The sequence below is a fragment of the Homo sapiens genome, chromosome 9, assembly GCF_000001405.40.
Source record: "Homo sapiens chromosome 9, GRCh38.p14 Primary Assembly".
Lineage (NCBI taxonomy): Eukaryota > Metazoa > Chordata > Mammalia > Primates > Hominidae > Homo > Homo sapiens.
Genome location: NC_000009.12, coordinates 10,876 through 36,311, shown reverse-complemented (window position 1 = coordinate 36,311; position 25,436 = coordinate 10,876). Strand labels below are relative to the sequence as shown.

At 52.7% G+C, this 25,436-nt stretch overlaps 1 protein-coding gene, 2 long non-coding RNA genes, 1 other non-coding gene and 1 pseudogene across 25 annotated transcripts, besides 2 other annotated features; 2 read left to right on the top strand and 3 right to left on the bottom strand.

Annotated features, from left to right (window-relative positions):
* The first annotated feature begins 447 nt into the window (after nucleotides 1–447).
* FAM138C (family with sequence similarity 138 member C) lies at nucleotides 448–1,918 on the top strand. The gene is made up of 3 exons (NR_026822.1): nucleotides 448–808; nucleotides 1,048–1,252; nucleotides 1,355–1,918. It is a non-coding gene; the product is annotated as a family with sequence similarity 138 member C (long non-coding RNA).
* Nucleotides 1,919–5,420: 3,502 nt separating this feature from the next.
* MIR1302-9HG (MIR1302-9 host gene) lies at nucleotides 5,421–6,653 on the bottom strand. Its single transcript, NR_197460.1, has 3 exons — nucleotides 6,430–6,653; nucleotides 5,867–5,970; nucleotides 5,421–5,554 (listed from the first exon to the last, which is right to left on the bottom strand). It is a non-coding gene; the product is annotated as an MIR1302-9 host gene (long non-coding RNA).
* On the top strand, nucleotides 5,825–21,799 carry WASHC1 (WASH complex subunit 1). Of its 21 annotated transcripts, none has more exons than XM_011517660.3 (11): nucleotides 5,825–5,871; nucleotides 11,308–11,461; nucleotides 17,833–17,931; nucleotides 18,138–18,284; nucleotides 18,457–18,593; nucleotides 18,833–18,968; nucleotides 19,146–19,347; nucleotides 19,436–19,594; nucleotides 20,251–20,403; nucleotides 21,163–21,231; nucleotides 21,372–21,799. In XM_011517660.3, exons 1-11 carry the CDS (start codon nucleotides 5,840–5,842, stop codon nucleotides 21,503–21,505), a joined length of 1,422 nt encoding a protein of 473 aa, XP_011515962.1. In that variant the 5' UTR covers nucleotides 5,825–5,839; the 3' UTR covers nucleotides 21,506–21,799. The 21 variants fall into 21 exon arrangements, with proteins under 21 accessions (XP_011515962.1, XP_011515961.1, XP_011515968.1 ...); XM_011517659.3 differs by having other exon boundaries at nucleotides 17,830–17,931; NM_182905.6 differs by lacking the exon at nucleotides 5,825–5,871 and adding an exon at nucleotides 6,573–6,710 and having other exon boundaries at nucleotides 17,820–17,931.
* Nucleotides 6,031–6,168, bottom strand: MIR1302-9 (microRNA 1302-9). Its single transcript, NR_036266.1, has one exon. It is a non-coding gene; the product is annotated as a microRNA 1302-9 (primary transcript).
* Nucleotides 13,931–14,772: an enhancer, noted in NCBI's record as "H3K27ac-H3K4me1 hESC enhancer chr9:21540-22381 (GRCh37/hg19 assembly coordinates)". NCBI's record gives its function as "activates a minimal SCP1, AML or CMV promoter by ChIP-STARR-seq in primed H9 embryonic stem cells {active_cell/tissue: H9 hESC(primed)}" and the evidence as "EXISTENCE:reporter gene assay evidence [ECO:0000049][PMID:30033119]".
* Nucleotides 14,773–15,615: an enhancer, noted in NCBI's record as "H3K27ac-H3K4me1 hESC enhancer chr9:20697-21539 (GRCh37/hg19 assembly coordinates)". NCBI's record gives its function as "activates a minimal SCP1, AML or CMV promoter by ChIP-STARR-seq in primed H9 embryonic stem cells {active_cell/tissue: H9 hESC(primed)}" and the evidence as "EXISTENCE:reporter gene assay evidence [ECO:0000049][PMID:30033119]".
* Nucleotides 21,787–24,325, bottom strand: DDX11L5 (DEAD/H-box helicase 11 like 5 (pseudogene); annotated as a pseudogene). Its single transcript, NR_051986.1, has 3 exons — nucleotides 23,972–24,325; nucleotides 23,478–23,586; nucleotides 21,787–22,978 (listed from the first exon to the last, which is right to left on the bottom strand). The product of NR_051986.1 is annotated as a DEAD/H-box helicase 11 like 5 (pseudogene) (transcript).
* Between the last annotated feature and the right edge of the window lie 1,111 nt (nucleotides 24,326–25,436).

The window sequence follows — 25,436 nt, the reverse complement described above, 5'->3', positions numbered from 1 at the left end:
GAGGCTTGAGGAGTGCCTGTTGGGGGATGTGTTGGGGAAGGATGACTTTTCACATATGGCTCATTGTGTCGGGATGATTTCGTTGTTAAATAAGCACCTACAGGATGATTTCACATTCCATACTTCTAAGTTTTTATAATTTAAATTCTTTCCGCCAGGCTGGGTTTTTTTTTTTTTCCAAACTTTAAATCTGTGGCTAGAATTGGTTTGATTTACATAATCCTGCCCCTGAGATTTAGCCCCACCCCTGAGAGCCCCCTCAGAGCCACCCACAGCCAGGACACCTCTGCTGGCCTCCCCTTCCCCAGCCTTCCAACTTGTGGCAGGCCCCTGGCTCTGGCCTCCCCCTATATGGGAATGAGCCAGCTGCACCGCTGCTGACAGTGGCTGGGATAATCCTCCCTGAGCTGTTCCAAGGATTAGTCCTGCTGCCCTGTGCCCAGCTCCCACACAACGGGGTTTCGGGGCTGTGGACCCTGTGCCAGGAAAGGAAGGGCGCAGCTCCTGCAATGCGGAGCAGCCAGGGCAGTGGGCACCAGGCTTTAGCCTCCCTTTCTCACCCTACAGAGGGCAGGCCCTTCAGCTCCATTCTCCTCCAAGGCTGCAGAGGGGGCAGGAATTGGGGGTGACAGGAGAGCTGTAAGGTCTCCAGTGGGTCATTCTGGGCCCAGAGATGGGTGCTGAAGCTCCCACGCCTGCCTGTGAAAATGGAGTCCTCTTTCACCTGGGAGAGCCAGGTGCTGCCCCGAGAAGGATGCATTTATGGCTTCGTGAAGTCTTTCCTGACCCCCGATGCTGCTGACTATAGGTAAGTCTGAGCAAATCTGGGGGAGCCTCATCTTGGCATGAGAAAGAGATGGCTTCTTCTAAGCCCACTGGCCGTGATCCCAGGATTATAACACATTCTGGCTCAAGTCCAGACTATTTGTAGAACACAGGAGATCCTCCATGAGAGGTAGTATAATATAGAGGATATGTGTGCTTACTAAGAGGCTGCCTGTCTGACCTTGGACAAGTTCTTTTTATTTATTTATTTATTTTTTATAGAGACAAAGTCTCACTATGTTGCTCAGGCTGGTCTTGAACTCCTGGCCTCAAGCGATCCTCCCACCTCAGCCTCCCAAAGTGTTGGGATTATAGACATGAGCCACTGCACCTGGCCGACCTTGGGCAAGTTCTTAAACCCTTCAAAGCCTCATTTTTCTCCAATCACAAAAGGGAAAGATGGTAATATTTTCCCCACCAAATTCTTGTAAGTATTAAACATTGTATATGTATTTTGAACACGATTAAGCTCTAAACACTTGTTAGGAAGCAGGACTGGCATTTGAAACAAACAGCTCTTTTCCCACAGGTCGGATGCCCTCACAGAATTGAGATTATGTACGTAAAACACCAGGTGCCTAACCCGGCACAGAGCAGGAGGGCTAAGCGTGACATCCAGCACGTGGTCAGTGGAATCCAGTATTCCTACCCACCTCTCTAGTCTCCCCTCCACCCCTCTCCCTTTCAGAGGCACCAAGCTGCTTGTGGTCTTGTCTATTCCCACTCCCTGCCTGACTGAACATTTTCTCCACCTCCTGATCATCAGCAGCAGAAACTGGCTGCTCTTCCTCCTGGGTAGACAGCCAGACTGTATTTCCCAGCTGCCCCTGCAGTGAGATGTGGCCATCGGAGCCAGCATTGGCCAATGGACTCTGCATGGGAGTGACGCATGCTGCCTCCAGGCTTGTCTCTAAAACCTCCCACGTGTCCTCCGCCTGCTCTTCCCACCTCCAAGGAGCACGGCAATTGTGGAAGACCCAGATTAGTGATGGCAGAACCATAGATGGGAGGAACCTGGGTCCCTGACTTAAAGTATCATGGATTTGGATGTTCCCTTAGTGAGAAATAAACTTCCATTGTGTTTAAGCCTTTATTTGTTTATAGTTGGTTACAGCAACTGCCTTCTTTTAATTAAAACACTCCTGCTGCTTCATGTTGCTGGAATGCTTGTAACCCTGCCCTGCTTCACCAGGGTAACTCCTACTTGGCCTTTAAGTTTATCTCTGCTGTCACACCGTCCAGAAAGCCTTCTCCCAGCACCACAACCCCTCCACCAAGGGTTAGGTGTCTCCAGCAGATGCTGCACAGCTGGCTGCCCTTTGCCCACCCTCCCCTTCTTTCTCATAGAATCCTAGGACTCCTCTGTATCTAGAAGGAGTTGTGTGGTCCAGTGCTGGCCAAGAAGATGTGAGAGCAAGTCGCTGGGTGGAGATTCTTAGGAAAACTTCTTAAAAAGAACGAGACTGGGCTCCTTTCTGCCTTTTACCATTTTTGTGTATGCTTGCCTTCTTCCCACCTGGGACTCTGATGCAGCACCTGTGAATGGGCACACATATTACAACTCTTAGGCTGAAACCCACGTTCTCAGGCAGAGGTCTCTTGTGGGCATTTAGTGCTATAAATGTCTCTTTACACACTGCTTTAAATGCGTCCCAGGTCTTAGGGTATATACCCAAAGGATTATAAATCGTGCTACTATAAAGACACATGCACATGTATGTTTATTGTGGCAGTATTCACAATAGCAAAGACTTTGAACCAACCCAAATGTCCATCAATGACAGACTGGATTAAGAGAATGTGGCACATATATACCATGGGATACTATGCAGCCATTAAAAAGGATGAGTTCATGTCCTTTGCAGGGACATGGATGAAGCTGGAAACCATCATTCTGAGCAAACTATCACAAAGACAGAAAACCAAACACTGCATGTTCTCACTCACAGGTGGGAATTGAACAATGAGAACGCTTGGACATGGGGCAGAGAACATCATACACTGGGGCCTGTCAGTGGGTGGGGGGCTGGGGGAGGGATAGCATTAGAAGAAATACCTAATGTAAATGACAAGTTGATGGGTGCAGCAAACCAACATGGCACACGCATATCTATGTATCCAACCTGCACATTATGCACATGTACCCTAGAACTTAAGTATATAAAAAAAAAAAAGAAAAAAAAACTTTCACCTTTTTCCAAAGTGTTGGGATTATGGGTGTGAGCAACCACATCTGGTCCTTTTTTTTTTTTTTTAATGGAGGTGAAATTCATATAAGTTTGGCCATTTTAAAGTGAACAATCAGTGGCATTCAGTACATTCACCATGTTGTGCCAACACTATCTCTATGTAGTTCCAAAACATTTTCATCAGCTCAAAATGAAACCTTGTACCCATGAAGCAGCCACTTCCCATTCTCCCCTCCCCTTAGCCCCTGGAAATCGGCTTTCTTTCTCCACGGATTTACATATTCTGTATATTTCCTATAAATGGAATTACACAATAGGTGACCTGTGTCTGGCTTCTTCCACTTAACCTAATGCTTTTGAGGTTCTGTCACATGGTGCCATGGATCAGCTCTGCCTTCCTTTTTATGACTAATACTCCACTGTATGTCCATATCACCATTTGTGTATTCACTCATTAATCTATGGACACAAGCCTCATTTTTAAGCACTTCAAATATGTTAACTCACTGAATCCTCACCACAAAGACAGATTCAGTTATTACATATTGACAGAGTGAAAACTGAGGCACAGGTAACATGCCTAGGATCACGTGGCTATGAAGCAGAAAGAGGACTCCAGCCGAGGCAGTCTAGTCCCAAAGTCCTTCCCTTCCTAGTAACCACTATGCTCTCCTGCCTCTCAGAGAACAACCCACATGGCACAACACGAGGGCTAAGCTGTCTGGTCTGTCGGGTGAAGCTTCAAATGCTGTTCATTTCCGATAAGGGGAGGTTCCTGGGCTGCAGAGGCTTCCTAGAGGAGGAAGACCATGTAAGGTCTAACTCAGGGCAGGTCAGGATGGTGTGAACTCACTCTGAACACAGTCACCGATGGGTGTTTAGGAAAATTGGCTCTGGAACTCCCACAGGGAAGGTTCTTATCTTTGCGTGCACAACACAGAGCCCTCTGGGTAGACTTCTAGACCCAGGCCTCTTTCAAATACATTAGAAACCTCAGCAAGATAAACTATTTTCTGTCTGGCTGCATCTGTCTATCTGTTTAGAGAGCAGGACATTTCCATCCTCCTCTCTCCAGGCATCCTTGGAAGTCTTTCCCACAAGCAAGACATCTTGGTGAAATTTAATGCTGCGGAGGGAAGTGGTTTTCAGGAGAGAGGAGTCTGTTCCCAGAACTGTAGCACAAAAGCTAGAGGCTGAGTAGGAACATCTTAAACTAAGTCCTCAGTCTTATTTCCAGTTTTCTTCCTGTAGATCGGGGCTTAGGACACCCTGTCACATTTTCTTCACTCCTCCACCAGGAATTCCTAAAGTCCATGCTCTTGGATCCTGGCAAATCCAGGAGGCTGGGGGATGTGGCAAGCTTCAGCAAGACTGCCTGGGACCAACCCTGCAGCCTTAATTCCCAGGCCCGCTCAGCCCAGCTGGCCAGCAAAGGCAGGCAGAGCTTCTGTGTCCACACATGAGAATGACCTGCAGCTGTTCTTTGTCCAGGCTGAGGTCCAGGATTCCCATTGCAGCTCCTAGGAAATCTTTAAAATTAGGTCGGGGATGAGCCTGTCAGTAGATTAGGTAGGGAACTTTTATGAAGTTGAGGGTGAACCATCTGGAGGGTGAACTGGCTGGTGTGATTCTAGAACTGGGGGTGGTGCCTAGCAGTGCATTTGTGAGAAGACACAGCCAGGCTTGGTATATGATGTGGTGTGTGTGTATATTCACAGGCATCGTGGAGCATATACACTTTTTTTGTGTGTGTTGAAATAAACCTTACAGATTACAAAGTACTTTTTTTTTTTTTTCTGAGACAGGGTCTCTCTCTGTCGCCCAGCCTGGAGTGCAGTGGTACAATCATAGCTCACTGCAGCCTCGATCTCCCAAGCTCAAGTGATCCTCCCGCCTCAGCCTCCCATGTAGCTGGGACTACAGGTGTGTGACACCATGACTGGCTATTTTATTTTATTTTTGTAGAGATGGAATCTCACAATATTGCCCAGGCTGATCTCAAACTCTTGGGCTCAAGCAGTCCTCTCGCGTCAGCCTACCAAAGTGCTAGGATTACAGGCATGAGCCACCACGCCCAGCCAGATTACAAAATACTTTGACATCTTTTCTCTACAGCCCTCAAAAGGAGGCAGGGCAAGCACAATTAAATCCCATTACAAATGGGGTGACTGAAGCTCCATTCATGGCTTGCCCAGGGTCACACAAAGAATGAATAGCAGATCCCTGAGCCTGTGTGCTTCCCTCTGTGCCAGGCTGCTTTACCCAGGCATGGGTGCACGTTGTGCATGGGACATTTCTCCTTTGTTGTGTCCTGAGTACCTTAAGCCACTCAGATATTGCTCAGGTGGAGTGAGGGGAAAATGTTTTCAGGTTGTATTAGTCAAAACAAAATACCACACACTGGGCGACTTTAAAATCATACATTTATCCCTCACAGTTCTGGAGGCTTGGAAGTCCAAGTTCAAGGTGGCAGCTGGACAGGTTCCTGGTGAGGGCTCTCTTCCTGGTTTGCAGACAGCCACCTTCTCTTCGCATCCTCACTTGGTGGGAAAAGACAGAGGAGAGAAAGAGAGAGAGAGAAAAATGAGATAGAGAGAGAGAGAGAAATGAGATAGAGAGAAATGAGAGAGAGAGAGAGAGAGAGAGAGAGAGGGAGACACAGAGACAATGCTCTCTTTTCTTACCAGATCTATAATGAGGGCCCCACCCCATGACCTCATCTAACCGTAATTACCTACCAAAGGCCCATCTCCACATACCATCACATTAGGGGTTAGGGTTTCAACATAAGCATTTGGAGAGGACATAAACATTCTGTCTACAACATGAGTGGAGATCCATCTCTTCTTTACCTCTGGTAAGGGGACCACACGCTGCAGCCAGCGAGACAGTGGCATGTTCTTGTTACAACTCGATCTAACTCCCCCAGAAGAGGAGGCAGGGAAGGCGGACAAAACTGGGAGAGGGAGAGAGTGTTAGGAAGAGAGTAGGGTGGCCAGAGGCAGCAAATAAAATATAAAATGCTTAATTCTGAATCTCAGATAAACAACCAATAATGTTTTTTAGCATAAGTATGTCCCAAACTAAGCTTGGGACATATTTATGCTACGAAATTATTCGTTGTTTATCTAAAATTCAAACTAGCTGGGCATCCTGTCTTTTAATCTGGCAACCCTAAAAGGCAAGGGCCAAAAATGCCGGAGGCAAGCCAACGGATTCCAGGAGGGACAACTGCTGGACTTTGGACTGATGATGCTCTTTTTATATATTTAACTTTTTAAAAAAGCCTCTTTTCTTTCTTTTTACCAGCTTTTCACTAGCTTTTTAAAAATTGTGGTAAAACATACATAACCTAAAATTCACCGTCTAAACCATTTTTCAGCATACAGTTCAGTGGGATTAAGTAGATTCACACCGTTGTGCCGCCATCACTACCACTCATTTCCAGCACCCTTCCATCACCCCAGCCTGAAACTCTACCCATTGAACACGAGCTGCCCAACTCCGCCTTGCTTCCCCATTCCTGGCGACCACTGCTTCTGTCTCTGTGAATTTTGACTATTCTAGGCACTTCACAAAACTGGACTCATACGATATCTGTAGTTTTGCGTCTGGCTTCTCTATTGAATTCTTAAAGGGGGGTGGGAACTAAGCAGATCACAAGGGAGCTGCCCACAGAGGTAAAGACAAGGTCAGGTAGGCTGAGAGACGCAGGAAAGCGGGTCAAGGCGTAGGGCTGGAGGGCAGGGGCGGGCCCTGGGCGTGGGCTGGGGGTCCTGCCCCGGGGCGCACCCCGGGCGAGGGCTGCCCGGAGGAGCCGAGGTTGGCGGACAGCTTGGCCCTGAGCTTGAGGGGAAGGCAGCGATGGGACAAAGGACGGAGGTCTAGGAAGAGGGTCTGCAGAGCAGAAAGCACGGGTAGGGGCGGCCTGACGCTCGGAAGACAACGGATGGGAGCCGTGTGCACGTCGGGAGCTCGGAGTGAGCGTGAGTTCCGTGCCCAGGCCCGCGACTCGGCCCGACAGGACAGCGCTCCGGGTCGACGGGGTCCTGGAGCCGCGCTCGGGGAGGCGTCTTGGGCTCGCCCCGGAGCTTCCTCCCTGGAGCCGCGCCCTGCACCCGGCCTTGCCCGGCCCTAGCAGGGAAGCCAAGGCTTGTGGGGCGCAGGGACCCGGGCTCTGCGGGGTCCCGGTTCCGCCTCCCCACTCCTGCGTCTTCCCGCCCCTGCCGGGTTCTGGGAAGCCTCGCGCGGCTCTTCCGCAGCTGCTGCCCGCCCGGAGCTCCTGGTCCCTCGTAGGGGACCCCACTTCTCTGACACCGCTTTGGGTTCCCGGGGCCTACAGCGAGGCTTGTAACTCCGGGAGAGACCCTGGAGCGGGGTGTGGGAGAACGGTCTGGAGGAAGGGCTCCGAGCACTTCGAAAGTATAAACCGCGGTCCCAAAGAGGCGTGCTGTGTCTGCATTTTCCTGGGAGTGCACGGTTTACATTCTCGAAAGCAGTGCTGTCGACTAGAAATATTGAGCGATACACATGTACAAGTTTTGTCACTTAAAAAGAATTTGAAAAAACTTCATAGATGCAAAAAAAAAAAAAAACCCACCATTATTAAAGAATACTTAGGTATTTGTGGAATGCATTGAAGAGTTAACAAAATGGATAGGCAGGAAATATCGCAGACCTAGAATGAATTACAGTTACCCACTGTGGAACTGAGGAGCTAGGGTTTCTCATAAAACTCCCTGATAGAAGACGACTTTTGATAAAATTTTTTTTCCGCCAACAAAATCCCCTGTCTTCTCAACTAGTTACTGTCTGTCCACTAAATAAGAGGTGGTCCGTCACTTCTTCAGATGAGCAACTACAGGCTTTTCAAAAGATAATTGCTAATCAACCCCTTTGTGCCTGGGTTTTCTTATTTGTAAAAATAGATACTACTACCTAACTCCAAAGTGTGTGGTGAAGACAAACAATTGGGGTGATGTATACTAAAGTAACGAAAGTGTTGACCACACACTACGGGCTGGTTAGTGTTAGATTCCCTTGTTTTTCCCTCAGTATCAAAAACAGATCTAATTTAGGTTTACATAAAGACAAAGTATGAAGATAAGGTGACTTACAGTTGGTACTACTAACAAAATGTTTGGGCTAATATTTGCATTATTGCATGAAAACAACAAAACATATCAATAAATAACAAAAAGCTTGGAATTCAGACGACAGATCCAAGTCTGGGCTTGATCTCAAGCTAGTGTTTTGATGTTGAAAAAATGTTATTTGGTCTTTCTAACCCCATTTCCTTATGTAAAATAGGGGATGATGATAAATTCACTGATAATAAGAGTTAAATGAGATTCTTGAGGAGTCAGAATGGTTCTAACATGTGTAGGTATTATTAGCAGTCATACTGTAGCATAAGAAAATACCGTCTGCTGAAAGAGGGACAATAAAGATTATCTACATGGTCATCATTTAAAAGCTACCAGATATAGGAAGAAGGGGCCATAAAATGATAACGTTATGATGATTAATTTTGATGCTTAGGTCAGAGTCCATTCTAGGATATCTGCTGCCCAAAAACAGCAGAGACTCATTTCTTTGGAATCACAGGACGCTGAGTGAGAGGAAAGAAAAAGAAAAGAAATATTTAAGTCACATATGTGATTTCTAAAAGTAAAAAGAAACAGATGAAATTAGTGATATATTTTTAAAATCCAGTATATCCCAAATATGGTTATTTTAGCATGTAATCAATATAAAATAATAAGATATTTTACATTCTTTTTTTCTAGCCTTTGAAATTTGGTGCATATTTTACACTTATGGCACATCTCAATTCAGACTATCCACATTTCAAGTGCTCAGTGGCTGCATGTGCCTGGTGGCTACCATATTGGACAGCACAGGTCTAAGGATTTCATTCCTGCCACAAGTCCAAACTCCTAGCTTTAATTTTGAGTGTTTTTAACAAACTGGCCTCTGTTTATCATTCTTTCTTCTAGTACTTCCCCAAGGATGATTGTACCCTCAGCACTCAAGACCGCTTGCGGTTCCCCTACACACTTTTTGTTCAAGCTGTTTCTTTTACCTGGAATGCTGTCTTTGCACCTTCTTCCTGGACCTGGTTCACCCTCGTTGCCTAGGCTGGAGTGCCATGGCGCGATCTTGGCACACTGCAACCTCCACCTTCCCGGTTCAAGTGATTCTCCTTCCTCAGCCTCCCGAGTAGCGGGGATTACAGGCCTGCACCACCACGCCTGGCTAATTTTGTATTTTTAGTAGAGATGGAGTTTCACCATGTTGGTCAGACTGGTCTCGAACTCCCGACCTCAGGTGATCTGCCTGCCTTCGCCTCCCAAAGTGCTGGGATTACAGGCGTGAGCCGCTGCGCCCGGCCGAGAGGCACACATTCTGCTAAGAGCTTTTTCCTGACTCCCCTAACTCCAAGAGGGATTTGTCACTCCTTAGCTTTGTACCCATGACTGGAGTAGAATGAATTTAATTTGAGTTTAGTTGTTTTTGAGACTCTCCCTGGCTAGTGTAGTGTCTTATTCGTCTTTGTTGTGATCATGGCCTGCACCTAACAGATGATCAGTAGATGTTTGCAGACAGAAAGTAAACCACTCATCAGGTGTATTCAGTCCCATTCTTGAACGGGCTTGCTGCCTCCTTTTTGAGGAGATCTGTGTATGTACTCTTCTTTCACGCATATGTGTGAGCAAACACACACACACTAACAAGAAATTCATCTGAAGATGTGCACAGGAAATATCTTGCATCTTTACCCCCTTTGTGATCTTACATATGGGAGAACTGAGGCACAGAAATAAGTTAGGACAGCCAGCAAACTTGCATCAGTATAAATACAAAGAAGGGGAGGGAGGAACATGCTTGAAAGGGGTGTGCTGGTCTCAGAGGGTTGGGTTTCTCAGTTGGCTGGGCATCAGCTGGCCATGCTTTAGTTATTTGATGGGAGGAAAAATAAGTGGGAGGTGAGGAGTAACTCCTGGGCTCTGATGAGTATTCAAGGCAAGTACAGATCTGGAAAGCCTGTATGCAAAGGAGGAACTCACTGAAAAGTGCTGGCCTGAGGAGGGCAGAAGGGAGGGCTGGGGAAGCCAGCAGCGGGAGCAAAGGAGTAGGCTCCAACTGGGTGAAGATGTTGGTGTGGTGCGTTATGTAAAATATACAAATTATTATTGGAAATAACCACGTCTCAGCAGTGCTAGTTCTCAGTTTGGAGAATGGGAAATCGAAAGGATCAGATTCAGAGACGGCAACTTACTCAAGGTCACAGCATTTTAAACCCAAGTGAAATCTCCTAGGCCCTTCATGCCACACTCATCCATCCATACCTACTTGTGTTGCAACCAAGGGCCCCACTGTAGTGCCTAGGGGAGCAGGTCTAGGGCACAGTGCCAGGCCTGATTAATGTCTTCCTTACCATTTTCCAGTGAGGGGCTGTGATTAGGCCTATTTATAGGGGCCTGGTCCCTTAATATTCTGCCTGGTGCATCTCTTGCCAATCAAATCAGTGCTGTCTGCAGTGTGATTGCTGCTTTAGTGGCACCAGGGAGAGGAGTTAATTAAACCCAATATAAATAGACTCTGCCCTCACTTTGCAATTCCAGGAGTGTTTTTCCTTCCTGTCCTCCACCCCCACAGGCACCTCTTTCCTCTTGTCCCCCTAAGCTCTAGCCTGGGTGAGCAGGGCTGGATACTCCTATACCTAGAGTCACTAGCCACTGCCCAGTCTGTTTCAGGAGCAGGCCTCAGATTCCTCAGGGGTTAAAGTGGGAAGAACCCGTGTGTGCACATTTTTTGTGCTTTTCCAGAACTGTGTACCATTTGGCAGTTGATCAGGCAATCTCCCCTGCTACCCCATTTCTACCCCTTTGTTTCCAGCCTCTTTTTTCCTCTGCAACCAAGGTTTCTTGTTTATCCAAGGTGGGGAGCTGAACTGAGACAAGGTATGGAAAGGGTGCCTGGCAGGTAGCAAGCACCTTGTAGGGGGTCAGAAATGTTGCACCTTCTCTGAACTCCTCCATTGACCCTACAGATTCCCCAGTCCCGGGCCCTGCCCTTTCCCTCATTCACTCAGCAGGCATCAGCAGAGTCCCATCTATGCGCTCCTGGCCTCTCAGCAAATGCTCTGTCCCCTACTCCCCTATCTGTGCAGGCTGAAGCTATGTGCATAGTTGGGATGAGGGCTGTGTTGTCTCAACACCACGCTGCCCTGTGGTGGGGGCGTGCCGTTGGTCGTGGGTGGCTCTGACGCTCCGGCTCCGACCCACAGGCACCATGACTCCTGTGAGGATGCAGCACTCCCTGGCAGGTCAGACCTATGCCGTGCCCTTCATCCAGCCAGACCTGCGGCGAGAGGAGGCCGTCCAGCAGATGGCGGATGCCCTGCAGTACCTGCAGAAGGTCTCTGGAGACATCTTCAGCAGGTGGGTGCTGCCACTCACCCCCACCTGATGAGAGGGCCATCCCTGTCCTGGGCAATCCCAGCAACACACCCTCTGGGAGCAGCCCCCTTGGGGAATCCCGGTCCTGGGGAACCCATCTGGCTTCCCTGTGTGGGAGGGGCTGAAGTGAGAGCCCAACTTGGAAGCTTTTACTCCTGGGAGTCCGAGAGCTCACTCCCTTCCACCCCACTTAGCCTCCTGGTTTCCTGTGGTGGCTCTGCTCTCACAACTCATGCTTTTCCTCCCATTGGAGGGCCTATTCCTTCACGTTTTCCTGCAGCCAACAAATATTTACCCAGCAGTGCTCGTGTGCAAGGCAGTGTGGGAATCTCTATATATCCAGCCACGGATAAGGCAACATACCTCTCCACCTGGAGCGCACATTCTGGCAGGAGAGAAAGACCTAAATAAGCAATAGATGATTAGTTCTTCAATAACAGTTGTGACAAGGTCTATTGATAATATTTTGTAATCACTAATATTCATATAAACCGTGCACAACCATTGATTTGAGTGCATTAACTCACACTTCATGAGCAGGCACTGCCGTCATCTCATTTTATAGATGAGGAAACTGAGGCACAGAAGGGCTGAGAGACCTGGCCTAGTGACAGAGCCAGGATTCAAAGCCATAGATCATGGCCCCGGGTTATGTAGGTTATTACTGCATCTGTTCAGGGGAGATGGGGTACTGTGAGGCTCGTCATGGGAAGCCTGGCTTGGTCTCAGGTCAGGGAAGGCAGATGTGAGGAAATGACATTTATGGTAAAGTCTGAGGGTTGAGTGGGTAGGTTGGGAAGAACATTCCAGAAAGAAGCACATGAACTACAGCCTGGAGGTGGAGGACCTAAAAGGAAGCCAGCATGGCTGGAGCACGGAGTGGCCATTGAGGGAGGCGAGCTGGAGGGCTGCAGCTTCTTGTATTGGCAGTGCTGACCTCGCACAGTCCTTGGGCTCCAGTGACTTCACTCAGTGTTTATCTAACATGAGTGAGTGAATGGTGTTTGCTGTTTTTTTGGTAAAGGTCCCAGGGGTTGTCGGGTACACAGGTCCTGTCTTTGGCCATAAGCAAACTGAAATGAGGCTTGGTCTCCTTCCCAGGATCCCACACCATGTCTCACATGGTAGACCCCAGTGGGAAGTATGTGACTGCCTGACTCAGGTGCCTCTCGTGGTCCAAGCCATCCCTGCCCTGTCCCTTCCCTGGTTGTCGCCAGACCTGGAGCCCCTGCTCCTTCACTTTGCAGCCTCCTCTTCTGTCACCAACTGGGAACCCACCTCTTCCTGAAAGTCCTCCCCCACTGACTCACCGGCTTGCCCCGAGTTTGTCAAGAATGTCTCAGTAACCAGGGGACACACAGTGAAGTGACTGAGGGGTTACCTTGGAGTTGATGCCTTGGCTCAGATCCAGCTCCCCTGTTTTCTTCCTCTGTAACCTTGGGCAACCCAACCCCTCTAAGCCTCGGTGTTCTCATTTGTGAAGTTGTGGTAATAATGGTAGCTTCCTGGTAGAATTATTTTAAATATTAAATTAATCAAAACATGCAAAGGAATGGAACAGTGCCTGGCACCTAGGAAGCCTTCAGGAAATGCTATCTCTTCCCTGTTGATAATCTTGACCCGTACACTGCCTTTGGTTGCCATTCATAAACCTGCCACCAATAGTAACAAAGTGCTGGATGCACCTTTTGTGCTTATCTTTGTGCTAAATGTGCCCGAGGGACACCTAGGGAAGAGGATGCAGGTCTTTAAGAGCCATCAGCTCCAGATTATGGCCACCCCATGTCCAGCACTTAGAATGGAGGCCAAAACCATTCCCTCGGAAATTGTGTTTCCTTGCCAAGATGGGGACTGCGTGGTTGCCCTTCTCTGAGGGCAGCGCTGGATTTTTGGCGTCTTTCCTTTCCTGTCCTGGTACTTGGCACCTTGTAGACAGTTGCATGTCCCCTGCCCAGGGATGGGATGAGGAGAGGGCAGGAAGGCATTTCCTGGGTAGTGGAGTGCTGCGTTCATTGAGTGTGGGTTCTCCAAGCTGCTGGCACAGCGCAGGGAGGGCCAGATGCCTCTCAGGAGCCTTGGGCCTGAGTCCTGGCTCCCTCACTCCTGGGTTCCAGGTCACTGCATCTGTCTCTCCACCATGTGCTCCACCTCGTGCTGGACCTTAAGAGATACCAATTATGTGGCTGCCACTGTGTCCTAGAGGCTGGAATGGGAACACATAGGGCGAGATTGATTGTTAATTGCTAGCATGAACCGCGTGGGCTTCTCAGGGTCTAGAGTGGAGAGAAATCGGTAAGAATTGGTGGCACGCCTGTCAGAACTCCCCAGACCAAGCTAAGCAAAAATTAACCAATCAGTAGAGCAGCCTTCGGAGTAAGGGCTAAAATGATGTCCTCAGGGCCTGGTTTTGCTTTCCTTCCATGTCAGTTTGCTTCTTTGGGTCTGGCTGCATTCCCAGACAGGCCATGCTCTCGTGGTAGCAAGGTGACATGACACAGGGTCAGGTCCAGCAGGAAAGAATGCTGTCCTGTGTCCCCGCTTCCTCCAGAAGCCACACTCACCCATCCCACCTGGCTTGGTCCTCATGTCTATCCCAGAATCCATTAATGGGGCCAGGGGACTATGACACACCACTTGGCTTAGACTGAGGAGCTCTGTGGGCAGCCCCACCTGAAGCTCTGGGACTAAGCCTGCGAGAGAGATGGATTCCCCAAGGGAAATGGGGCCATTGCTTGAGTAAAAAGGAAATAGTTGCTGAAGAGGAAAACCACGTGCTTACTCCACATAGGGCAGACTCCTGGAAGAGGGGGGCAGGGTAGGGAGGTGGATATGCAGGTTGCCCTGGCAGGGTCTGGAAATGGGGGCTGCAGGCTTGGAGGGAGGCCTCAGTGTGGCTTGGAACGTGGTGTATGGTGGTCTGCCGCGAAGGCCGGCCTGCACAGGGGTGGGAGGGGGGTGCTTCTGCATGGGAAGCACAGACAGCGCTGCCTCTCCCTTGCACTCAGCTCTTGGGGCATGAGAGGCTGACTTTCCGTGAGCCTGTGGGCCAGGCCTCTTTGAATGGGGCTGAGGGAGCTTTGCCCTGGTTCCTTTGTGTCCCCACGGTGCCACGGGAGGCTCCCTGGCAGGGTGTGGGGCAAGGCAGTGAGTGAAGAGTTGGGATGAGTGAGTTAGGGCCCACGGATTACTCAAGACAGGACTTCAAGTTGATTCAGGCGTGTTAGGGAGCTGTGATTGGATTTTGAGCAGGGCAGGGATGGGACAGAAGAGTTTGGGGAAGGTTCCTCAGGCATCCGTCACGGAAGGGACAAGAAGGGAGAGAGAGTGGATGCCAGGGACACCCAGAAGCTGTTATTGTAGTCAGGATACGACAGGGGTGAGGCTACAGACAGGGGACTTGCAAGCAGGGAGGGCAGGGTGAGACATTCAGAGGAAACGACGACAGGAAATGGTGACAGATAGGGAACGAGGATGAAGGGAAGGGAGAGCCAGTGACGACTGGCAGTGGAGTGGGGAGCACCGCCACCTCTCCTCCTCCACTTGCCCCTCCTGTGGCACTGGACAAGCTAGTGGGCTTTTCGTTGTCCATGGGCTTTTTCGGTGGGGATGTGACCAGCTTTGAACCCGTCCCCTTAAACATGCTCCTCCTGCACGGAAGAGACAGGGGCAGGGGAGAGACTCTCTCCCCACCACCCAGCTCAGGCCCCAGCACAGCCCGGCCTCTGGCCTCACTGGCGTCTGTGCCCAGTGACGCAGGCAGGTGAGCTCCTGGCAAATTAGCATTGCAGGCTGTGCTCTCTCCTCCTGCTCTGCTGCAGCTGGGAGTGTGCAGAGACTGGAGGGGATGACAGTCACCCTCTGTTTTCTGTGGTGGCTCTGTTTTCTGTGGTGCTGGATGCACCTCTGTTTTCTGTGGTGGCTCCAAGAGAGTGCACGGTCCCTGCTGATTGAAAGAAGGATGAAGGGCAGAAGAGGGGCGGGGAGCTGTGTGCCCTAAGATCTCATTGCCTTTTTATGCCGATTAACATGCTTTTAGCCCCTACTGAGCTTATAGTTAACAGAAGTTTCCAGGTCTTTCTTCACCTGAACTGTGTCTAAAGCAAGTTCTCTCCACCTTCTGTATTTATACGCTTGATTTTTAAAACCTAAATGTTGGGCTTCACATTTCTTCCTTGTAAATTTCATCTTGGTGATTGCAGTCTACCCTCTGGCCTTTAAAAATTGTCTGAGCCTTGATTCGATCATGAAACCAGCTTACCCTTCCCCTGTGTGCTGGCCCCAGTTTTCTAACCAGGTGTTGAATGAACTGGATGGACTCTGCCAGATCCCTCCGTGCAAGGCTGGAATCAGTCCATTGTTCAACTGTGCCCTTTGGGGCTGTGGTTCATTTGGCTCTGATTTTTCCTATATGTTCTCTCCTCCAACCCCCATAGCTCCATCTTGTCTACAAGATTTTGTTAGAAGCCGTCAAAATCCTGCTGACTCGAGATGCGCTGTGGTGCATGTTTTCCCCGGGCACAGCAGGCTAATAATCCTGTTACAAAGAGAAATGCTGTACATTTCGAGCAGTGCTGGCCCCTGGGACTCACCGTGGCCTTTTCTAAGTGCTTACAGACTCTCTGTTTAATAATCCATTCCAGAAATTTTCCAGGGCTCATTGTTGAGCTTGGTGTTCGCAACTTTGAGTGATCAGCCCTTCTCCTTTGTGGGAGCACCAGGACAGAGCAGCCTTTGTCCCTCCCCAGTCTCAGTTCCCTCCCACTGCCCCTGTGGACCTCGAATGCAGAGCTTATGCACCTACCGAAGGTCGTGTCAGCACCCAAGGCAGAACGAGGCTGCCCTGGGAACTAGGGTCAATTAAGACAGCTTGTGCTGGAGGACCCTTTACAGCAGATGAAGGCCTCTCCCCAGCCAGAAAAGATGGAGCACACGCTGGGTGGTGGCCCCGCTTCCTCACTGGAAGGAGATGGTGCTCTTCTTTTTTCTTTCTGAATTGTGGCCACCTTCATACCAGTCTGTCATGGAACACTTAAGCCGCTTGAGTGCCTGCTGGTACTCCCAGCCCTGCCATGCCTGAGCCCCCTGCACACAAGGAGCCAGGAGTAATCAGGGCAGACCCTTTAGGGCACGGGGACTTCTGGATTGTGAAATTGGCTCTCTGGGGGCCAAGGCCTTCTAACGTTGGTGGAAGTGGCTTTGGCTTATTGGGTCGGATTCTAGGCCATTCATTCCAACCTTTAGAGACATCCCAGCTTTCCCTAGCCCAGAGTCTGCAGCCCCTCCACCATCCCACATCCTCCCCCTCCCTTTCCTCATGAACCCCAGTCGCGCCTCTGCCTTCTCAAACCCCTCCACCATCCCACACCCTCCTCCTGCCCTTCCTCATGAACCCCAGTCGCGCCTCTGCCTTCTCATCCCTGCGCACCACACAGGCTCGCTCGTGCCCGGTGAGTGCTGAGGCTGCTCTGCACGTGGAGTATGGCCCTGTGGGCAAGGGCTGGGCTCTTGGAGGTAGGGGAGCTACAGGGGCGACTGGGAGGAGGATGTTGTGTTACACACGCATCAGAGTTAACTTTGCAGTGAGAGCGGCCTTGCTGCGGCCAAAGAACATGGAAAAGCATGAGTGGGGTGATGTGCCTTAAAGCATCAGACACTTGGGCCTCGGGCATCAGGAGCCAGCCACAGGGATGTCTGGGGAAATGGCGTTCCATGAGATGCAAGCACACAAGAATGCACTTGGCACATCTGGGGAACAGCAGGCAGCTGATATCACTGGGCCCACCCCGCACCAGGGAGGATGGAAGCAGGTGAGGAGCTAGACCACACTGAGGCGGTGGTCGGGACTCGGGGTTTGCTCAGTGAGCCGTTCACTATGTGCAGGGGCAGTTCCCCGTCTGAATTTAGGTGACGACACTCAGGTCCAGCCTTGCCAGTCTCAGCCTCCGGTCTCCGTTCCCCCTCTGCAGAGGCCACATTGTCTGCTGCACGTGATCATGAGGGGTTGTGAAGTGCTTGCCCCATCAGTAGCCATGTGTGCATGTGTAAATACCATCCTCTGTGTGCCCTGGAGGCTGTCCTTCAGATAGCATGTACAGGTGGCAGCATAGGGCCTGTCCCTTCTGAGAGTGCAGGGAACTCAGCACCGTCAACTCCTCGACCCTGCAGGTCAGATTATCCTTGTAGAGGCCCCCTGGATGGCACCAAGATCGGCCCTGGCAAGTAGGTGACCCTGACTTCAGAGCCCTTGCCTGAGGGCCTGGCCTGGCAGCTCTGCTGTTAGAAGCAGGAGGTGTGCAGAGGGTGGGGAGCAGCCCAGCCTCTGTGATCTTCTCCATGGCAGGATCTCCCAGCAGGTAGAGCAGAGCCGGAGCCAGGTGCAGGCCATTGGAGAGAAGGTCTCCTTGGCCCAGGCCAAGATTGAGAAGATCAAGGGCAGCAAGAAGGCCATCAAGGTAGTCCCCATACCCCTGTGTCCTGAGGCTACTGGGCAGTCCCTCCATTTCCCCGTGCCTCTGAGGCTGCCCAGTCTCTGCCCTGCTGCCCACCTGTACCTTGAGCTTTCTTCTCGCCCAGGCTTCCAACTCCACCCTCTCCTGCCAAGCAATCCTAGCCCTCTGAGCCTCTTGGGGCCCCCTCAGACTTGTCCCTGTGTCCACAGGTGTTCTCCAGTGCCAAGTACCCTGCTCCAGGGCGCCTGCAGGAATATGGCTCCATCTTCACGGGCGCCCAGGACCCTGGCCTGCAGAGACGCCCCCGCCACAGGATCCAGAGCAAGCACCGCCCCCTGGACGAGCGGGCCCTGCAGGTCTGCTGGCCGCGCATATAGCCTGTCACACACCAGGAGGACTGGATACTGGGGAGGAGCCGGGGCCACCATAGGGTTCTGTCCCCCAGAGGAGGCTGACTGGGATGGGATGGCAGCTGATTAGGCCCAGCACCAAATATTCACCATCCCTTGGCCATCCTGGCCCTCTCAGGAGAAGCTGAAGGACTTTCCTGTGTGCGTGAGCACCAAGCCGGAGCCCGAGGACGATGCAGAAGAGGGACTTGGGGGTCTTCCCAGCAACATCAGCTCTGTCAGCTCCTTGCTGCTCTTCAACACCACCGAGAACCTGTATGGCCAGAGGGCAGGGCCGAGGGGTGTGGGCGGGAGGCCCGGCCTGGCTTAGTGGGGACCCAGGGCATCAGACACAGGTACAGCACATAGGCCAGGAGCCAGGGGGTGACTGGGGTGGCTCGGCTCGGGAGGCCTGGGACCCCACAGTGCACACTGTGCCCCTGATGATGTGGGAGAGGAACATGGGCTCAGGACAGCGGGTGTCAGCTTGCCTGACCCCCATGTCGCCTCCGTAGGTACAAGAAGTATGTCTTCCTGGACCCCCTGGCTGGTGCTGTAACAAAGACCCATGTGATGCTGGGGGCAGAGACAGAGGAGAAGCTGTTTGATGCCCCCTTGTCCATCAGCAAGAGAGAGCAGCTGGAACAGCAGGTGGGAGGGGTGGGACAGAGGTGGAGACAGGTGCAGTGGCCCAGGGCCTTGCCAGAGCTCCTCTCCAGTCAAGGCTGTTGGGCCCCTTATTCCACCCATGGGAGGTGCACACAAGGTCTTGTTGGCTGCCCCTGCAGGTCCCTGTCACCTCTCACATGTCCCTGCCTAATCTTGCAGGTCCCAGAGAACTACTTCTATGTGCCAGACCTGGGCCAGGTGCCTGAGATCCATGTTCCATCCTACCTGCCTGACCTGCCCGGCATTGCCAACGACCTCATGTACAGTGCCGACCTGGGCCCCGGCATTGCCCCCTCTGCCCCTGGCACCATTCCAGAACTGCCCACCTTCCACACTGAGGTAGCCGAGCCTCTCAAGGTAGGTGAGCTGGGTTCTGGGATGGGAGCTGGGCCGGGGACCTCCCTGCTCACACACCTTCTTCCCTAGACACCCCACACTTTGTGTTTCAGACCTACAAGATGGGGTACTAACACCACCCCCACCGCCCCCACCACCACCCCCAGCTCCTGAGGTGCTGGCCAGTGCACCCCCACTCCCACCCTCAACCGCGGCCCCTGTAGGCCAAGGCGCCAGGCAGGACGACAGCAGCAGCAGCGCATCTCCTTCAGGTGGGAGCAGCTCTTTGAGGCCACCTGATTTCTGGCGTGCTCAGTGCACTCGGGTGGATTTTCTGTGGGTTTGTTAAGTGGTCAGAAATTCTCAATTTTTTGAATAGTTTCCATTTCAAATATCTTGTTCTACTTGGTTCATAAAATAGTGGCTTTCAAACTGTAGAGCTCTGGACTTCTCACTTCTAGGGCAGAGGGAGCCTGAACAAGTGAGGCTCTGGGTTCCTCATTCCTAATTAAACCAATGGAAAGAAGGGGTCTAATAACAAACTACAGCAACACATTTTTCATTTCAGCTTCACTGCTGTATCTCCCAGTGTAACCCTAGCATCCAGAAGTGGCACAAAACCCCTCTGCTGGCTCATGTGTGCAACTGAGACTGTCAGAGCATGGCTAGCTCAGGGGTCCAGCTCTGCAGGGTGAGGGCTAGAGAGGAAGCAGGGAGTATCTGCACACAGGATGCCCGCGCTCAGGTGGTTGCCGAAGTCAGTGCCCGGGCCCCACACAGTCTCCAAAGGTCCGGCCTCCCCAGCGCGGGGCTCCTCGTTTGAGGGGAGGTGACTTCCCTCCCAGCAGGCTCTTGGACACAGTAAGCTTCCCCAGCCCTGCCTGAGCAGCCTTTCCTCCTTGCCCTGTTCCCCACCTCCCGGCTCCAGTCCAGGGAGCTCCCAGGGAAGTGGTCGACCCCTCCGGTGGCTGGGCCACTCTGCTAGAGTCCATCCGCCAAGCTGGGGGCATCGGCAAGGCCAAGCTGCGCAGCATGAAGGAGCGAAAGCTGGAGAAGCAGCAGCAGAAGGAGCAGGAGCAAGGTGAGCGGGCCCTGGAGCCTGCGGTTGGAGGGCCTTGGGCAAGATCGCCTCCTCCCCTCCAGCCCTGAGTCCACCGGGTGCTTTCTGCCCACCCCCTGCTCCTGCCAGCTGGCCCCTGCTTCCCCTAGGGCACATGCTGGAAGCCCTGGGCCGCCACCAGAGGTCCTCAGCCCTCCTGCCTGGGCTATGGCTCCTTCCTGGTTTGGGAGCCATAGTGGAGCTTTCCTCTCTAAGCTCACCCAGCTCAAACTGTGACAGGAGAATCTTCTTCGACTGCCAAGAGCGGTCCAAGGCAATGGTCAGCCACTGCAGCCTCCTGAGATATTTTTAGAGACTGGACCTGAGGCCTCTGGAGGCTACTGATGATGCCTGCTGTGAACGCAGACACTGGTGTGATGCGATGCCTGCGCCTGCAGCGGCAGTGCCCTGGGCACTATGGTTTTGAGCTTGTACCCAGCGCTGCTTTTGCCTTGCTCTGTGACCCCAGGCAAGCTGCCTCACCTCTCTGGGCCAGTTTCCCCATCGTACAGTGGTGCTGCACACCCTGGCCCTGTCCCCGAGGTGGCTGGGAGGTGGCTCCTCAAACAGCCACTTTCTCATCAGTGCCCGGTGCTGGGTCAGGCATCGACTGAGGCTCTGAGCTAACTAGGAAACACAGTGGCCTTGGAGGGCTGGGGAGTGTCATGGGGGTGGGGACAGGGAGCCACCGGTCGCATGTGACTGAACTCTTCACCCCAGTCTGTGGCTTTCCCGTTGCAGTGAGAGCCACGAGCCAAGGTGGGCACTTGATGTCGGATCTCTTCAACAAGCTGGTCATGAGGCGCAAGGGTAGGAGGCAGGGCCGCTGCCCACCCTGGGCCGGCACATTGTAATTCTGTCCTGCCTTTTTCTTCCTGTATTTAAGTCTCCGGGGGCTGGGGGAACCAGGGTTTCCCACCAACCACCCTCACTCAGCCTTTTCCCTCCAGGCATCTCTGGGAAAGGACCTGGGGCTGGTGAGGGGCCCGGAGGAGCCTTTGTCCGCGTGTCAGACTCCATCCCTCCTTTGCCGCCACCGCAGCAGCCACAGGCAGAGGAGGACGAGGACGACTGGGAATCGTAGGGGGCTCCATGACACCTTCCCCCCCAGACCCAGACTTGGGCCGTTGCTCTGACATGGACACAGCCAGGACAAGCTGCTCAGACCTGCTTCCCTGGGAGGGGGTGACGGAACCAGCAGTGTGTGGAGACCAGCTTCAAGGAGCGGAAGGCTGGCTTGAGGCCACACAGCTGGGGCGGGGACTTGTCTGCCTGTACTTCATGGGGGGACGGCTCCACCCAGCCTGCGCCACTGTGTTCTTAAGAGGCTTCCAGAGAAAACGGCACACCAATCAATAAAGAACTGAGCAGAAACCAACAGTGTGCTTTTAATAAAGGATCTCTAGCTGTGCAGGATGCAAACGTCTCGGGGTCAGTGACTGCCTCCTGCCCCTGTTGGTCCCTAGGCAGTGGGGGCAGAAGCTCCCAGCTGACTTGTTTCTCTGGGATGAGAGGGAGGAGAGAAGGGCAGTCAGCAGGGGCAGCTGTTGCAGATGGGAGGAATAGTTTCCCACAAAAAAGGTTTCAGTGACAGACACAGGGTCTCTAAAAATAGTCATGCTGAGAGCCTAATGGCCCTTGGCACAATTGCTGGTGTTGGGGTAGAAGATGTCTTGGAGTTTGCTCAAGTGGTTGAGAGGGAGGGAGGTGCCATCGACTTGGAGGAACTGGCACCAAGCCAGGGAGATAGAAATCCAGGCAAGGCTGTGGGGCAGGTTAGGGAGCAAGGCTGCAGGAGTGACTCAGGAAGAAGGTGGGGGAGGTGACAAGCCCCCAGGCAGGGGCCCTGTGGCCATGGGGATCTTTTTAAATTGAGACTAGGGGGTGAATAGTCCAGGGCAGCTAACTTTAGTTATTATAGAAAGGGCAGTAGCAGATGGGTCTGCTCCGTCTCCCTTCTAAGAAGGTGGGCAGGACAAATGGCAGCCTCCTGCAGAGGCCCAGTGAGAAGCCTGGCCCTCGGCCACACAGGATGGAAGACAGATTGGATTCCACAGAGGGGAGCTGCCCTGGGAAGATCTCACGGATGGCCAGGACCCACCATTTCTTCGGGGTTCCCCTGTTTTCTCCAACGGGCACTAATGCCTGTGCCTGGGTCCTGGCAACACTCTGGACTCCACACTCTTCTGGGTTTCACCTTTGTAGCAGGATCCCTGCAGATCAGGCCCATGACAAACACCGTCTCCAGCGGGCAGAGCAAAGGAAGGGCGCAGCGCCAGGCAGTGGTGCAGCTGCCTGTCAGGAAGAGGCCTACTTCTGGTGAAACTGGGCAGACAAAAGGCAGTGAGAAATGTGATCTCGGGGTGGTGGAGGCTCTAGGGAAAGGAAAAGGCAGGAGTGAACTTCCACACAGCAGCAATGGCAGAACCAAAGGTGGCTTTGACCTCCACGAGGGCTCAGATCCAGGCCAACAGCTTGTCCAGGACAGGGTGCCGGGTGTATCACTAATCCAGGAGCACTATGCTGGCAGAATCCCTTTGGTGCCTGATGGCCCTGCCTTCGTGGGAACAGAGGCTAAGGCTTTGAGTTACAGCTGCCTCCCCAACAGTGCATCCCCTTCTCCTTCCTCAGCCTCAGGTAGGAGACAGGGCAGGCAACCCCCCTTTCCTCTTCTCCCCTTCTCCAGCCCCTGTCTGTCCACCCAGCTGGAGGCAGCCAGGCTTGCCTATGGACTGGTTGACAGCCTTCATGCACAGGTTCTCCACCAGAGCCTTTCTTGGGGGCCCCTGGCCTGGGCTCTGAGCTGGGAGTGAAGGGGATGACCCATGCGGACTGTTTGCTGCTTGTAGCTTTCCCTGGGAAAGACTCTGCCAGGCCTTGGAGCCAGACCAGGAGGCTTTATAGGCCACTGCAAGCAGCAGGGCTCCAGATGACATCACAGGGAATATCAAGAGGGAGTGGAGGGGCATCGAAGCCTCTCCAGGAGACAGGAGACGCCGGCCCAGTAGAGCCCTAGGGGCGACGCCACTCCCACTCACTGTCTACTCTCCTCTCACCTCTGCAACACTGGGGACACTCACAAGATTGTGATCCAAGTCGGCCGTCGTCTTCTGCAGCTCTGGAGACCTGATGCTGGGGAAGGGCATGCCTGGCATCACCACACACCTGGGGGGAGACAGGAGCCTGGGGCCGGTGGGCCCACACATCACCAGCTGCTCCGTTCTACCATTTCTTCAGCCCTCTTGGCTGTGCCTGCGGCTCTGCCCCTCCCCTCTCTGCACCTACCACCCAGAGAGGGCTTGTTGAGCTCAGAGATCCCACCTAGGCCAATCCACTGGGTTCTGTGGCAGCGATGGCCTGCCTGATCTTCCACCTGCTCTCCCAGGGCCAAAGCCAGACCTGCTGAGCCCCTCCCTCCAGCCGGCTGGTCTGAGCAGTCACAGCCCGGCTTTGGGCTCCGATGGCAGCAGATGGCAGGTAGGGGTCCAGCTGCTGGAGCGAGGGCCGGCCACGTATCACAGCCAAGGAGATGAGCACAAGCACTACTTACTGGCCTAGGTTGTCAGAGAAGTTGATGCTCTCACTCATCTTTCCTCCAATCTTTCCCCTATGCCTGGTTGTGGTATTAAGTTACATGCAGACAACAGGGGCCAGAAGATGAACAATGGCCCATCCCACTCTAGGCATGGCTCCTCTCCACAGGAAAACTCCACTCCAGTGCTCAGCTTGCACCCTGGCACAGGCCAGCAGTTGCTGGAAGTCAGACACCTGCAGATCAAGACCACAGCATCAAGACCCTGTGACCTCTCAAAGGCTTGGTGGAAAGGACACGGGAAGTCTGGGCTAAGAGACAGCAAATACACATGAACAGAAAGAAGAGGTCAAAGAAAAGGCTGACGGCAAGTTAACAAAAAGAAAAATGGTGAATGATACCCGGTGCTGGCAATCTCGTTTAAACTACATGCAGGAACAGCAAAGGAAATCCGGCAAATTTGCGCAGTCATTCTCAACACCGGCCATGCAGCAAAATCATCAGTGGAAATTTAAAAAAATACACGTGGCCAGGCCCCAGCCCAAATCACTAATAAGAATCTCCAGGGCTTCACCTGTTAGACTGGCAAAAATCCAAAAGTAAACACTTTGTGGAGAAACAGGCACTCCTAGACATTGGTGGTGGGATACAGAACAGTACAATTCTGATGGTAATCAGTTAACAAATTAAACATATTTATTTTATACTTTTAAACCCAGGAATCCCATATTTAGGAGTCTACTGAGACCAAACAGCATATGCTCCTGGTGTTTCCCTATAATCCGCCACTACTGTTGGAGCAAGAGGGCCCAGCAGTGTCCCCAGCTGCCAGCAGGCGGGCGTGCTGCCAGTACACCTTGAGCAAGAGGACCCTGCAATGTCCGTAGCTGCCAGCAGGCGGCGTGCCACCACTATACAGTAAGCAAGAGGACCCTGCAGTGCCCCGGCGCCAGCAGGGGGCGGTGGCCACCACTCTAAGCAAGAGAGCCCTGCAGTTGCCCTAGTCGCCAGCAGGGGGCGCCCTGGCACAGCACCGTGAGCAAGCGGGTCCTGTAGTGCCCGGCTGCAAGCAAGGGGCGGTCGATCCCGGCTTTTCGGATTACTGAAGTTCCACCCGTCTCTGCGCCGCGCCGCCGTGACGTGAGTTTCTGCGCGTGCACGGCGCCCCCCCCCCCCCCCCCCCCCCCGCCCCCAGCCCGGCGCCGTGCGACTTTGCTCCTGCAACACACGCACCCCCAACCCCCGCCCGTAGGCGTGCGTCTCTGCGCCTGCGCCACGCCTCCACCCCTGGACGCGCTAGCATGTGTCTCTGCGCCTGCGCCGGCGCGGCGCGCCTCTCTGCGCCTGCGCCGGCGCGGCGCGCCTCTCTGCGCCTGCGCCGGGGGAGTTGCGTTCTCGTCAGCACAGAGCCGCAGAGCACCGCGAGGGCGGAGCTGCGTTGTCCTCTGCACAGATTTCGGTGGTACTGCGAAGGCGGAGCAGA